The sequence below is a fragment of the Homo sapiens genome, chromosome 21 (genome assembly GCF_000001405.40).
Source record: "Homo sapiens chromosome 21, GRCh38.p14 Primary Assembly".
Lineage (NCBI taxonomy): Eukaryota > Metazoa > Chordata > Mammalia > Primates > Hominidae > Homo > Homo sapiens.
Genome location: NC_000021.9, coordinates 10,505,130 through 10,521,582, shown reverse-complemented (window position 1 = coordinate 10,521,582; position 16,453 = coordinate 10,505,130). Strand labels below are relative to the sequence as shown.

Sequence of the window (16,453 nt, the reverse complement as noted above, 5' to 3'; positions counted from 1 at the left end):
GCCCTCCCTTGGCCCCGCCGCTCGGAGACGCCCCGCCCCCTGCCTTGAACGGCCGCCCGGCCCCGCCCCAGCGCCCACGTGACTAGCATAGGCGCGCCCCCGTTCCGCCCGCCGCCGCAGACTCCGCCTCCGGGACGCGAGCGAGCGGCGAGCGCGCGCACTACCAGTTCTTGCTCGGCGACTCCCGCGCACGCGCGCGCCGTGCCACCCTCCCCGCACCCCTCCTCCCGCCATCCGGCTTAACGTGGCGGGCGCGCGCCGCGGCAGTAGCCGTGACAGGTACCCGGCGGGGCGGGGGGGGAGGGGGTTGGCCCGCGAGGGTGTGCGCAGGCACAGACCCGGGTCCTGTCCCCGCCGCCCCCTCCTCTGCAAGGTGTGCCTGGGCGAGGGGAGGGGCCCGCGGCCCGAACCCCTGGGTCACCCCCGAATTACAAACAAAAACCTTAACGCCATTGCTCGCGGGTTAGAAGGCAGCTGTGCGTGCTCAGGAAAAGAAGCCACGCACAAGAGACCGCACGCGGCGTGGATACAGTGACACGAAACACCCAAAATCTCTTTTGAAAGGGAAACCAGGCACAGTGGCTCATGCCTATAATCCCAGCACTTTCGGGGGCCAAGGCGCTCACCTAAACCCGAGAGTTCAAGACCAGCCTGGGCAATACAGCGAAACCCTGTCTCTACGAAAAATATAAAAATTAGCTGGGCATAGGGCTGGGCACGGTGGCTCACGCCTGTAATCCCAGCATTTTGGAGGCCGAGGCGGGCGGATCACGAGGTCAGGAGTTCCAGACCATCCTGGCTAACACAGTGAAACCTTCTCTCTACTAAAAATACAAAAAAAATTAGCCGGGCGTGGTGGCAGGTGCCTGTAGTCCTAGCTACTTGGGAGGTTGAGGCAGGAGAATGGCATGAATCAGGGAGCGGAGGCTGCAGTGAGCTGAGATTGCGCCACTGCACTCCAGCCTGGGGGACAGAGTGAGACTCCGTCTCAAAAAAAAAAATAATAATTAGCTGGGCATGGTGGCTGGCACACATGGTCCCAGCTACTCAGGAGGCTGAGGTGGAAGGATCTCTTGATCCCGGGGAGGTCAAGGCTGCAGTGAGCCAAGATGGCATCACCGCACTCCAGCCTGGGCCACAGACCCTGTCTCAAAAAAAAAAGAGAAAGTGGGGAAGAAAATGTAATACAAATTAATATACCAACAGCAATTAGTGAGTACTTTTTCCATGGAGCTGGGAGAGGGAATAAATGTTTGTAAAATTAAAATGTTCTACGCTAGAAATCAACTTTCCTTCTATGCTTTCTTTACTTCACCCCTTATAGCTACTTAGTAAATCTCACAAATCCTATCCTTCTGATCTCTCTGAAATGTATGTACCCTTTCCCTTCTATTCTCACCACCCATGTTTCTTTGTTTCCTTCTAGCCTGTGTAATAATCTCATAATCGCACCTCCTGTACCTGCCTTCTTTCTAGTCCAGAATACGTTTTCCTAAATTCCACCAATAACCATCCTGCTACTGCTTTGTGTGAAATTCTCCAAAAAAAATTTTACTTTTCCAAAATAAGTCAGGCTCCCTCTCTTAGGATACAAAACCACACCATGGTCCCAGCCAATCTTTCAGCCTGATTCACTCAGTATATATTTATTGACCTCTCCTTTCTCCCAAGCACTTGGCTAGATAATAATTAAAGAGTGCGGCACAAAACAAATTGGATTCCTCCCCTCATGGAGCTTGTATTTTCACAGGAAGCACAGACATTAAATAAATTAAAACACAAAAAAATAGACAAGCATATAATTACAGTATGTATCCTAGAGAAATATCACTCATGCAGAAAGCATACACAAGGATGCAGCACTGTTTCCAATAGCGAAAAGCTAGAAACAACCTACATGTTCACCAAAAGAAAATGGCCACATAAACTATACCATATCCAAATTATCCAAATTTTAGAATATAGACAACAGGTTGGGCGCGGTGGCTCACACCTGTAATCCCAGCACTTTGGGAAGCCGAGGCGGGTGGATCACAAGGTCAGGAGTTCAAGACCAGCCTGGCCAACATGGTGAAACCCCGTCTCCTCTAAAAAAACAAAAAAATCAGCTGGGCACTGTGGCAGGAGCCTGTAATCCCAGCTACTGAGGAGACTGAGGCAGGAGAATCGCTTGAACCCTGGAGGCAGAGGTTGCAGTGAGCCAAGATCGCGCCACTGCACTCTAGCCTGGGTGACAGAGCAAGACTCCATCTCAGAAAAAAAAAAAATAGAATATAGACAACAGGCCGGGTGCAGTGGCTCATGCCTGTAATCCCAGCACTTTGGGAGGCAGAGGTGGGCTGATCACCTGAGGTCAGGCGTTCGAGACCAGCCTGGCCAACATGGCAAAACCCCGTCTCTACTAAAAATACAAAAATTAGCCAGGCGTAGTGGCGTGCGCCTGTAATCCCAGCTACTTGGGAGGCTGAGGCAGGAGAATCACTTGAACCCAGCAGGCAGAGGTTGCAGTGAGCCGAGATCATGCCACTGGGCAACAGAGCGAGACTCCCTCTCAAAAAAAATACACACTGTGAATAAAATGTTTACTAGTTCCATATCCTGCTTTTGGATAAACATTTGATACACCATTCTATACTTACTCCTCTCTTTGCTCTATTCTGACTGCCTGCACCCCTCCCCGCCACCCAATCCCCCAACATATATGCCATATATATAAACATCAACCTGTAACCACCCTAATCGGCCCCAAGGTCACTCAAAATGCCACCTCCTTCAGTTACTCTCTCCTTTGTTCAATGCCTCCTTTATAACACTGTCTGCATTATGCCTAGCCCTGGGTATGTTATTTCTCTTACCACCTGAATAGTGGGGAGGCTCTTCCAAGGGAAGACCAGTTTCCTCCATGCTGTGGAATGGTCAACACACAGTAGGTACTCCAATATTTAGCTGTTCCAATATGTAGCTGTTCTGTGCTCCTTGGGTTTTTGTTTGTTTGTTTGTTTGTTTGTTTGAGACAATGTCTCACTCTGTCGCCCAGGCTGGAGTGCAGTGGCGTGATCTCAGCTCACTGCAACCTCTGGGGTTCAAGTGATTCTCCTGCCTGAGCCTCCTGAGTAGCTGGGATTACAGGCGTGCACCACCACACCTGGCTGATTTTTGAATTTTTAGTAGAGACAGGGTTTCACCATTTTGGTCTCCAACTCCTGACCTCAAGTGATCTGCCCGCCTCCCAAAGTGCTGAGATTGATTACAGGTGTGAGCCACTGCTCCTGGCCTCCCTGGATTCTTTTTTTTTTTTTTTTTTTTTTGAGACAGTGTTTCACTCTTGTTGCCCAGGCTGGAGTGCAATGGCGCAATCTTGGCTCACTGCGACGTCTGCCTCCCCAGTTCAAGCGATTCTCCTGCCTCAGCCTCCCTAGTAGCTAGGATTACAGGCACCTGCCACCACACCCAGCTGAATTTTTGTATTTTTAGTAGAGACGGGGTTTCACTATGTTGGCCAGGCTGGGCTCGAACTCAGGCGATGCACCCACCTCAGCCTCCCAAAGTGCTAGGATTACTGGCATGACACACCTCGCCCGGCTCCTGGATTCTTTAATACACTCGTTTTTTTCCTCTTTCATGTGACATGTACCTAATAAGCACCCACTATGTACACCAGGCATTGTTCTAGGTGCTGGAGATGCCGCAGGGAACCAAATAGATCAAAATGCCTATCCTCATGGAGTTAACATTTGATATTATAGTGTGTTAGATATTATAATAAGTACTATGGAGAAAAATACAAGGGGCAAAGGGGCTACAGAGTGGAGGGGTGGTGAGGGAAATGTTAAATAGATCGGCCCTGAAAGGCTTCATCATAGACACATCTAAATAAAGATCTGAAGGGGGTGACAGTGGCAGCCACAAGGAGTTCTAGGGGAAGAGCATTCCAGGTTCAGGGACAGGCAAGCGAAGTCCTTGAAGCAAAGTGCACCCAGTGTCTCAAAGAACAGCAAGGAGGCCAGCATGGCATTGTGGCTGGCGTGGCGACAAGCCCGGAAATTAGGATGGGGATGGTGCATCTTGATTGCACGGATCTTTCTGGCCATGGTAAAGATTTTGAATTTCATTCTGAATGGGCCTGAGAGCTCTGAATAATCTGAGCAAAATGGCCGGGCTCGGTTAGTAAGTGGTGTATTCAACGGGTTCACACAATCAAGAGCACTCCTAAAATAGTAACACAGGGTCTCTCTCCTTTGCTGAAATCACTCACTCAGATATTTAAATGTATCTCTATTTCAGGTTACTTCTACAACCATAACAATAATAATAATAATAGTAAGAAGAGGGCTGAGCGCAGTGGCTGGCTCATGCTTGTAATCCCAGCACTTTGGGAGGCTGAGGCAGGAGGATCGCTTGAGCACAGGAGTTCTAGGCCAGCCTGGGCAACAAAGTGAGACCCTGTCTTTGCAAAAAGCCAAAAAATTAGCTAGGCATGGTGGTTGTGTGCCTGTGGTCTCCAGCTACATCAGAGGCTGAGGACAGGAGAATTGCCTGAGCTCAGGAGTGCAAGGCTGCAGTGACCCATGATTGTGCCACTGCACGCCAACCTGGATGACATAGTGAGACCCTAAGATAGGCAGATAGATAGATAGATAGACAGATAGACAGATAGATACATACATACATACATACATACATACATACATACATACATACATAAAAATTGAGGTGCACTGTCACTTGAGAATTTCAAATTATATGATAAGTAGCTAAGGCAGTCAAAGAAAGGCTTTGGAGATGACCATAAAGTACTTTATGTAACTAAGTTATTCAGTCCCTAAACCATTTATATTTAAATATAGAAAATATATTTAATAATTTGATACAGGAAAAAAGAGCTTGTCAAAAAATCTCAAAAGAATAAAGTCTATTGGATTTAAACCATTTCCTTATAAAACCTGATTGCTGTATTACAGATATGAACTCTATATGCACTCAAATCCTTTCATCAATAAAAGGCAATAAGACTCTTATTGAGTAACAATAAGAGGCAATAAGGCTCTTATTGACTGTAACATTATTTAGGATAGTTCTTTCCAATAGAAATATCAAGACCAAGGGGTTACATAAAAAAAAAAAAATTTTAAGTCAGTACTATACCATCACCTCTGCAAGGTAACTGCTCAGAAACAGAGCCTGAGGAATCTTTTCTGATCACAGATCTTTTGGTTTTCCCTTGCCCAGTTCGACTTCTTTGCCGCACCATAAATCCACCAATACCTATCCAAAAAAGAAATTGGGTAAACTGATAAATAATTTCTCCCTACGTTTCCACAGTACACAGGATAAAAATGCTTTATCTTGAATAGTAAGTCATTTTCCAAAATTAAGTCTGTGCTAGTCTAAATAAATAACCTGAGTTTTAGGTAAAATAGAAGTTAAAAACAACCAAAAAAAAAAAAAGGCAAAGCCACTGTTACCACTTATCAAACAGAATACAAAAAGACCTGTGTGCACTTCCTCTTCTCAACAGTATCAGTGTAAATATCAAACACTAAATTACGCTGGCTTATCTATTTGACAAATATTAGTGCCTCATACATCACATAACAGTCATGCACTGCATAATGATGTTGGTCAACAAAGGGCTGCATGTCAAGGCAGTGGTCCCATAAGATTATGATGGAGCTGAAAAATTCCCACCACATACAGACATCACCGTAGTTATAACACCGTAGCACAATTACTTTATTTTTTTAAATGAATTTAGCGTACCATACAGCCTAAGTGTGTAGTAAGCTATACCATCTAGGTTTGTGGAAGTGCACTCTATGATGTTCACACAAGGATGAAAATGCCTAATGATGTATTTCTCTGAACTTAAGTGATGGATGACTGTGTCTGTATATTAACCGGCTAACTGGTACATTAGCTGGAGGACAGAAGACACAAACTACCTAGATGACACAAATATTCTTTGACTGATATGATTTCAGGGGGACAGTGTCTGGTACTCCAACGTATGAGGGCATTTATACATGGGACACATAGAGCCCTGTGGTTAAGAGCGTGGAATCTGGAGTCAGACTATGTAATTCTGCTTACTCACTAAATACTTCTCAATGCCTCAATTCTTTCACTGGTTAAATATGGGGGTAAGGCAAAGCAGCTTCTCATACATATGTTAAAAGGACAAATAACATAAGTGAAGTGCTTAGAATAGAGGTCTGGTACACAGTCAACACTATAAGCTTTTGTGAAATGATATCGCTGTCTAGCAATATACTCTGTGACCTAATGGGTCCCTCAATTAGAGGGTTGACTTCCATGTGAGGCAGAGGAAAAGAAAACAGTAAATACAAGTTCCTGGAAGAAATCTGCAATGTCTAAAAAAGTACACTTATAAGCCTCATGATTAGGAAGAAATGAAATCATTTTCATAAAATGATTTAGAAGCAACTCACCGTAGGTCCTTATTATAGATATGACCTATTTAAAAGACAGGTTATCTTTTAAGGTCTCATGGAATACGAATGAAGTAAGAAAGTTCTTCCTTACATATCAAAAGGGATTTAGATCACTCTTACCAATAAAATATAAGCAATAAGAAGCATAAAGATTGTACGAATCCAATTTAAAACCTCATTGGTAAACAGACATTAATAAACTGGCTAAGGAAAGCCTACTCAACACGTGTGAAAAGCGGGAAAAAAAATTTTAAATAAATACATAAAAGCCTACAACTTCTGTATTGTGACAATTTTAATAATTTTTTCCAATAAGGCAAATAAAACTGACAGGCAAGACCGCTTTTCTCTCCACTCCTGAGGCAGATAAGAAATGAGTGTTTAATCAATCATGGTTTTTAACTGGACTATAAATTCTAGGAGCCATAATAACTCTGTCTTGTTCCCCTTCACACTGTATACTTACTGGCACTCCTGCATAAACACTGAAATAAGTTTTTTCAAAAAAAGATATTAGAAAGTGAATACTGAAAATTAAAAGCGTTACAGAAGTACACATCCAGAGGAACTATATAAATGGCCTTCAAAGTCCAAGTATGAACAAAAGCCAATCTAGTAAAGCATTTAATAAAATGGTTAACATTTGGGATAAGGCATTCAATAATGATTCATTGTGAAGTATTCACATATTCAAAATAAAGAACTCTAGAGCTAAAAAGTCGTATTCAAATAGTTTAGTTCTTTAATTTATGTGCACATTTTTTTGTTTAGACAGTTCTTAATCCTGAATATTTAATTTTAATTGAAGTCTTCAGTATTGTATTTTTCTTTAATTAACCAAGTGTTGATGATATTGAAATGTCTACCTCAGGCACTATACCTGGTCTGTATGGTTTCCTTTTTCTCTTTTTGACACCATCTGTTCCTTCCACTCCCTTAGTTTCATCATTCACAGCTTCCCGCTCAGGACTAGATTCTGATTTTCCATCACAATCCATAAGTTCTCCTTCTGGAAAAAAGTAAATGTATACACAAAACTGGAAAAACCTATCAAATATATAATCCCTACATCATGGGGAATAAAAAGTAGGGTTGTTGCTGAGCCATTTTAATTGTACATCCCTGTTGGTAGGGAAAGTATGAAAGGAGATAGAAGCAGCCCCAAATGGTTCTAGAAATTGTGCTGCTTAGTGCAGTGTTCCCATGAAATAAAACATAATCAGAGAAGGGGAACACAGAACTCAGAGTTCTGTTAAGTGCAACCCATTTGCACTTAACAAATTCACTTGCTTTTAATTATGTCTTCAGGTCCAGGTCTCTAGACTAGAACTCTCTTCTGAGCTTCAACCACAGCTATAATTGAATATTACCTAGTTACTGAAAACTGTGTATCCAAAATGAACTACTAATTTAAAATAAACTTTCTCCTTTTTCCCATGTTACCTATCATCATTAAAAGGCATGGAAATGTAACCTGGAGAAGACAGAGGCCTGGAAGACCACCTTAATCATTCCTAATCTCTTTCCTCCTACAACCAAGACTCCTCAATACCTCTGAAATGCATTTTATCACTCTCTACTACCATCTTAGTCCAACCTCAGATGACTCACTATTAATACAATATGCTCCTATCTAGTTGCCCACCTCAAAGCTTACCTCTCTCCAATCAATTCTTTAAATTACTGCATAAATGATCTTTCTATAAATATGTATCAATTTTCTGCTTAAAATCCTTTCATGTCTTCCCAATGCCCTCAAAATAAACTTCAAATTACAAGGCCCATTACAACAGTCTCTTGTAAACTTTCCAGCTTCATCTCACTCCCACCAGGGAACTATGCTCAGTTCTTTGAATGTATCAAGCTCTTTCTTCCACTATCTTCCCCAATTTCTGCCTTCTACCTAACTTATCTTTCAGGATTTATTCTAAACTTCACTGTATTAAAGAATTCCTGATATTTAGATAAGATTATGTCAAACAGTTGTATGCTCGTATGTATGAACGTCATGCTTCATTTTTATTGGTTCTTTAAAATCTGTGTCCCTGCTAGACTATATTCTCCATGAGAACAGGTACACAGATTTTCTTAGTAACAGGTGTATTGTTAGTAGGATACCTAATACATGTTCAATAAATACTTCACTGAATGAGGTAAATGGAATGCTTAGAGAATGCTATTTTAGAGAATGCTATTTTAACACTATGGTAATCAAACTTTTCCAAGTTATATATGCTTTACATTGTATTACAGGAAAAAGATATGTTTATCAAATACATTTTAAAATCAAGTTGTTAACTCCTTCAATATTCTCAGTATTAGAGATAACGTATTTCTGTAATGACATGAACAGGGTATTTGTCTTTTCTTTTTTATTATATTTGGTCTATATTTAAGGCCAATTCCATAACAATCTGATAATGGCTATGGACTTATGACTAAACCATGAAAAGAAAAGTTTATAGACCAGGCACGGTGGCTCATGCCCATAATCCCAGCACTTTGGGAGGTCAAAGCAGGTGGATCACTTGAGGTCAGAAGTTCCGTACCAGCTTGACCAACATGGTGAGTCTCTACTAAAAATACAAAATTATCTGGGCGTGGTGGTACATGCCTAAAATCCCAGCTATTCAGGAGGCTGAGGCAGGAGAACTGCTTGAACCTGGGAGGCGGAGGTTTCAGTGAGCCGAGATCGTGCCATTGCACTCCAGCCTGAGCAACAAGAGTGAAATTCCATCTCTCAAAAAAAAAAAAAAAAAAAGGCCGGGCGCGGTGGCTCATGCCTGTAATCCTAGCACTTTGGGAGGCCAAGGTGGGTGGATCACGAGGTCAGGAGATCGAGACCATCCTGGCTAACACGGTGAAACCCTGTCTCTACTAAAAATACAAAAAATTAGCCAGGTGAGGTGGCTGGTGCCTGTAGTCCCAGCCACGTGGGAGGCTGAGGCAGGAGCATGGCGTGAACCCGGGAGGCAGAGCTTGCAGTGAGCCAAGTTGGCACCATTGCACTCCAGCCTGGGCGACAGCGAGACTCCGTCTCAAAAAAAAAAAAAAAGAAAGAAAGAAAAGAAAAGAAAAAAGAAAATTACTGAAAAAAACAAGCACCAAAGATGACAATACCAATTGTTTACCTTCAAATAAACCCACCTAAAAGTTAATGACAGGGAATTTTGGGTTAAGGTGGCAGACTAAATTCATACATTAAAATTACATTCTCCTGAAACCCTACTAAAAACACACTGAAATAATCTATTTTTAAAAGATAAAATCAAGCTGTGGCATGGTGGCATGCCTGTAATCCCAGCTAGTTGGGAGGCTGAGGTGGGAGAAGAGAATTGCTTGAGCCCAGAAGGTTGAGGCTACAGTGAGTTATGATCACACTACTGCATTCCAGCCTGGACAACAGAGAAAGACCCAATCTCCTTAAAAAAAAAAAAAAAAAAAAAAAAAAAAAAAAAAAAAAAGACAATAGGAAAGGAGAAAAACAAGTTAACGAAGGCAAATTCTCAGTTGAGAGCAGAAAGAACTGAAAAAAAGAATCCAGTTTATAACAATCCTCAGAAGGCTGAGAAACTAGGAAAACTGGCCACCTTTGGAAATAAGTGGGAGAAAACTGAAGCAACAAGAGATTTAATTATCTGCAGAAGTTATACTTCCTACACCTGCTTCCTAGGTTTACACACTGAGAAGCTGCTACTCTCATTTGTGGGATGAGGATTCCTGGGTGACCTTAAATGGAACAATGGGATGAAGATCGAAAATAGGACCAAGAAAATACGGGCATACTAATTGTGGACAACCCCATTCTGCTCCCGCTGCCGGACCCCACATTTCCCCACTGAATTCTCAGAAAGCTAGCAGCCAGATCTCTAGCCTCCAAGTATGAGGTTTGAAAAGACTGTTGTGGGGAACCTGATCAGTTCAAGAAGAACATCTAAAGATACTGAAACCAGAGGGTTCACCAAATGGTCAGCACAAATCACCCCACTAAACTTACAAATCGACAAGCACCGCCACATACTCAAAGCTTTCTAATCAACTACTTAATTCCTTTTTTAAAAATAAAAATACTATCTATCCAGTCTCCATCTTTAGTTCTTCACTTTTAATCATGCATGTACCATAAAGATTATCTGACAATGGTCTATAACAAGCTTGTCCAACCTGCAGCCAAGATGCTTTAAATGCAGCCCAACACAAATTCATAAACTTTCATAAAACATTATGAGACTTTTTATGAGGTTTTTTTTTTTTAAAAAAAAGCTCACCAGCTATCATTCGTGTATTTTACGTGTGGCCCAAGACAATGCTTCTTCCAATGTGGGCCATGGAAGCCAGAAGATCTGCAACACCCTTGATCTGTAACATAAAAGACAGAGACCTGAGAACATAAAAGACAATTTGGAATTAACAGACTAAGTAGGAAGAAAAAAAAATCTTCAAAAGGATTAAAATCCTCTGAGGGATAATATAAGATACCCTTGAGGCAAGAATAGGATGCTACAAAAGAAACATTCAAAGGGAGGAAAGAAAGCTCTTGAAATAACTGAAATAAAAACAAAACTCAGTAGCGGGAGATAAAATAAGGACATGAATTGAAAAGAAGCAGAGAAAAACTGAGTATGTTTCACATCTGAAAAGCAGAATTCTGGAAAAAGAGAGGGAATTGTTATCAATAATATAGTTCAAGAACATTTCCTACCACTGAAGGATATAAGACAGCAGACTGAAAGAGACCACTCAGTGCCTAACGAAACAGATTTTAAATATCAAAAATAGACAAAAACAGACGTTATCCTCATGAAATTTTAGAACACTGAGGACAAAGAATTTCCTAAAATCTTAAGAGCTTCCAAGAAAACACAGGTCACATAGAAAAAACCGAGTTCTTCATATACTAGAAACTAAAAGACAGTGGATCAATTGACTAAAAATGATAAATGAAAATGTGTTTCCAACCTGGAAAAGATGAGTCAGGTAGGAAGGTAAAATAAAGACATTTTCAGAAGTATATAATGCTCAAAACTTACCTTCCACACATTCTCTGTCAGGGAGCTATGGAAGATACGTTCCACCCAAATTGAGGGAAGAAATAAAGAGAAATTCATGAAATTGCAGAAAACACATGTAACACAGGAGAGAACAGAAGATGATCTCCAGGATGATGAAGAGGAAATCCCCAAGTTAATCATATGTAATGGTTTGTGGCCAAGGATAGCACTGGATCTAGCACAAAGGCCACCTTTCACCTGAAACAATGCACCACAAGGACAGTAAAAACCAAGAGAGCACTTTTATTGATGAGGTTCACAGTGACACCAGTAAGCATACATGTTGAGACAAATGGCATAAAGTAGCACATACAGTGCCCTAACACAAGTGGTATCACTGTAGGCTAAAGTCTCTTCTAACCAACATCTTCACAAGGGCCTTCTGATTCCCACAGGCTGAAATAAAGAAAAAGACTGTTATCGGCCAGGCACGGTGGCTCATGCCTCTCCAGCACTTTGGGAGGCTGAGGCGGGTGGATCACGAGGTCAGGAGATAGAGACCATCCTGGCTAACACGGTGAAAACCTGTCTCTACTAAAAATACAAAAAATTAGCCGGGCGTGGTGGCGGGTGCCTGTAGTCCCAGCTACTCCAGAGGCTGAGGCAAGAGAATGGCGTGAACTTGGGAGGCAGAGCTTGCAGTGAGCCGAGATTGCGCCACTACACTCCAGCCTGGGCGACAAAGCAAGACTCCATCAAAAGAAACGAAGAAAAGAGAAGAGAAGAGACGAGACGAGGACAGAAAGAAAGACAGAAAGAAAAGAAAAGAAAAGAAAAAGAGAAAAAGACCGTTATCACCCAAATATGAGAAATTCTCCCATATATACATACTTGTATCTAGATGACTAATCTCTGGAAAGTTATAAGAAAACACTGGTTCTTTCCAAGGAAGGGATGGCCAAAAGGTAGGCTAACTTAACATTGTTCACTCTTTTTAAGACCTTTGTATTTCTTGTATCATGCACAGGTATTGCCTATTCAAAAACAAACCTACAACAGGGAAAGACTGAAAGCTTTTCTTCAATATCTGCTACAAGGCAAGGATGCCTACTCTTAACACTTATATTCACCATAGTCCTAGCCAGAGCAATCACATAAGAAAAGGAAATAAAAGGCATCAGCAGAAAAAATGGGGTAAAATTATCCCTGTGTGCAGATGACATGATCCTGTATGTAGAAACCCCTAAAAATTCCACAGTTACTAGAATAAATGAATTCAGTCAAGTAGCAGGATACAAAATCAATATACAAAAATCAGATGCATTTCTTTATACAAATAATGATCTGAAAAAAAATCAAGAAAACATTTCCACTTAAAATAACATCAAAAAGAATAAAACACTGAGGAACAAATTTAATGAAGGAAGTGAAAACTTTATATACTAAACACTATAAAATACTGACAAAGTAAACTGAAGACACACAGCCGGGCATGGTGGCTCACACCTGTAATCCCAGCATTTTGGGAGGCCAAGGCGGGTAGATCACCTGAAGTCAGGAGTTCAAGACCAGCCTGGCCAACATGGCGAAACCCTGTCTCTACTAAAAATACAAAAATTGGCCAGGCGGGCATGATGGCAGGCACCTGTAATCCCAGCTACTTGGGGGGCTGAGGCAGCAGAATTGCTTGAACCCAGGAGGCGGCGGAGGTTGCAGTGAGCTGAGATCACACCACTGCACTTCTGCCTGGGCAACACAGCGTGACTCTGTCTCAAAAAAACAGAAAAAAACTAAAGACACAAATAAATATAACGATATCCCCAAGTTTGTGGATTGGAAGAATATTGTTAAAATGTCCATACTATCCAAAGTGATCTACAGATTCAATGCAATCCCTATCAAATTTCCAAAGGCATTTTTCACAAAAATAGAAAACACAATTCTAAAATTTGTATTAAATCATAAAAGACCCTGAATAGCCAAAAGAATCTTGAGAAAGAAAAACAAAGTAGAAGGTATCACACTACCTGATTTCAACTTATATTACAAAGTGATAGTTATCAAACTATCAAACCCAAACATATATTATGAGCTAATTTTTGACAAGTCCAATAAGATACAATAGGGAAAAGATGGTGTCTTCAATAAGTAGTGGTAAGAAAACTAGATATCTATATGCAAAAGAATGAAACTGGACCTGATGCCTGTCTTACACATCATACATAAAAAGCAACTCAAAATAGATTAAATACCTAACACCTGAAACCATAAAACTCCTAGAAGGAAATATAGGAGAAAAACTCCTTAATATCCTCCTTGACAATGATTTTTTGGATATCACACCAAAAGCTCAGGTAGCAAAAGCAAAATTAAGCAAGTGGGACTACATCAAGCAAATAAGCTTCTGCATAGCAATAAAAAAAAACCAAACGGGGTAAAAAGGTAGCACAGGGATTAGGGGAAAATATTGGCAAACCACACATCTGATAAGGCATTAAAATCCAAAACATATAAGGAACTCACACAACTCAGTAGCAAAAAAAAAAACCCCAAATAACTGGATTTTAAAATAGGCAAGGACCTGAATAGCCATTTTTCCAAAGTCACACAAATGGTCAAATGGTATATGAAAAGATGCTCAACATCATAATCATGAGGAAAATGAAAATTAAAACCACAATAGATATCATCTCGTGTCTCTTAGAATGACTATTAACAAAAAGGCAAAGACATAAGTGTTGGTGAGGATGTGTAGAAAATGAAACCTTTGTACATGGTTGATAGGAATGTAAATTAGTATAGCCATTATTGAAAACAGTATAGAGTTTCCTTAAAAAAAATACAACTACCATAAGATCCAACAATGCCTCTGTTGGGCATATATTCAAAGGTAATAAAATCAGCATCTGAGAGAGACATCTGCACTCCCACGTTCATGGCGGCATTACTCCCAATAGCCAAGATATGGAAACAAACTAAGTGTCCTAATGGACAATTTACTTACCCATTCAAGGACAGATGAATGGATAAAGAAATTGTGACGTTTGTATATACATATATTAAGTCCTCCCTTAATGTCATCAATAGGTTCTTGGGAACTGAGACGTTAAGCTAAATGAACATACAGCAGGTCCTCAAGTAACACTGTTTCCTTCAATCTAATTTTGGCATAATGCAAAATGAAAAAAAAATCAGTTTTTCATACTTTTTTTTCCCCTCTTAACCACAGTTTCTAAGAACTTACTGATGACAATGAGGACTTTATACAATGGAATAGTTAGCTTTAAGAAAGGAGATACTGCCATTTGTGACAACATGGATGAACTGGGAGGAAAGTATGCTAAATAAAGTAAGCCAGACACAGAAAAATACTGTATGATCTCACTTAAGAAGCAGAATGGGAAGCAGGGGAGTGAGAAACTGAATGTATAGAGAGTAGAATGGTGGTTATCAAGGGTCTGGAGGTAGGGGATGGGTAGGATGGGCAGAAGTGGGTCAGAGGGTACAAATCTGCAGTTAGGTAAGATGAATAATTCTAGAGATCAAATTAATACACAGCATGAGAACCATAGTTAATAATATTGTGTACTGAAAATTTGCTGAAAGAGATTTTAGGTGTACACACACAGAGAGTAACTATGGAAGGTGAAGGATACAGACATTTGTTTGACCATAGTAATCATTTCACTATGTATACAAAGCATGTTGTATACCTCAGATATGTATAATAAAAATAAATGAAAAAAAAAAAAACTGTATCCTACCTGCCAAAAACAGTTTCAAATGCATTATGTCTTTGGATTTAGCAAGGAATTCACCTTTGCAGGCCCACTTACATACAACATTATAAATATACCAGGTGATTCATTGTACTATTCACAGTAAAAGATTGAAAGAAAGTCGGGCGCGGTGGCTCACGCCTGTAATCCCAGCACTTTGGGAGGCCGAGGCGGGCAGATCACGAGGTCAGGAGATAGAGACCATCCTGACTAACATGGTGAAACCCCGTCTCACTAAAAATACAAAAAAATTAGCCGGGCGTGGTGGCGGGCGCCTGTAGTCCCAGCTACTCGGGAGGCTGAGGCAGGAGAATGGCGTGAACCCGGGAGGCGGAGCTTGCAGTGAGCGAAGATCGTGCCACTGCACTCCAGACTGGGCGACAGAGCGAGACTCTGTCTCAAAAAAAAAAAAAAAAAAAAAAAAAAAAAAAAAAAATTTAAAGAAACCCAAAGGTCTATCAACAGGGGAAAGAACAGGTAAATTAAATTGCTTATATTTCCATACAAAGGAATATTTGCAGCCATAAAAAAATGAAGGACAGTAAAAAGTAGTAAGACAAAAGGAACAAAATATATATACACACACACACACAAAATATATATATATATACACACACATTTCCTTGTACATGCATAAAATACATCTGGAAGGTTACACGAGAAACCTCTGAGGTTTCTGGAGATGTAAACTGGGGGCATGAAGGCAGGGGAAAGGGAGAGACTTCACTGTTTACCTTTTTATTATTTTCCAATTTTAAATCATTTGAATGTATAACTTGTCTAAAAATCAAATTTTAAAAGTTGAGGGAATTAACATTACAGAAAGTAACAAACCTCAAGGAAGCAGCCACCTTCACCAGATGGACAGTCTACCTCACTCTTCCCACGCTCCAGTAGTTACTGAATGCCAGTCCCCTCCCTCCATTCAGTCTGCCCCACCTGCTGGCCTTCTAGAGCCTCAGTGCAGTCCTATTCCTACACCTCCAAACACATCCATACACTGTGATGGTCGATCTGGGACCACCAGTTGAGAGGAAATGTGTTGTGTTTCCACACTTCAGACAAACAGAGTGTTATTTTATTGAGGTTTGGGATTTTTTTCTTGCATTAACAGGGTTTCTAGATCCCAGTAGGTGAATGAGAAAGAAGTATGCTTTTATTGCGTAAGGAATTTGTTTCTGATACACCAAAGTGATAATGTATGACTTTTCTTAAAGAAGTGGTTATTAGA

At 40.8% G+C, this 16,453-nt stretch overlaps 1 pseudogene across 2 annotated transcripts in view; it reads right to left on the bottom strand.

The window, feature by feature from the left end:
• The window catches only part of BAGE2 (BAGE family member 2 (pseudogene)), a 104,778-nt pseudogene continuing 91,633 nt past the window's right edge, over positions 3,309–16,453 (bottom strand). For both annotated transcript variants that reach the window (NR_169269.1, NR_169270.1), the window contains 2 exons: positions 7,333–7,461; positions 3,309–5,265 (listed from right to left, as the gene is read on the bottom strand). The product of NR_169269.1 is annotated as a BAGE family member 2 (pseudogene), transcript variant 1 (transcript). The remainder of the gene's footprint in view (positions 5,266–7,332; positions 7,462–16,453) is intronic.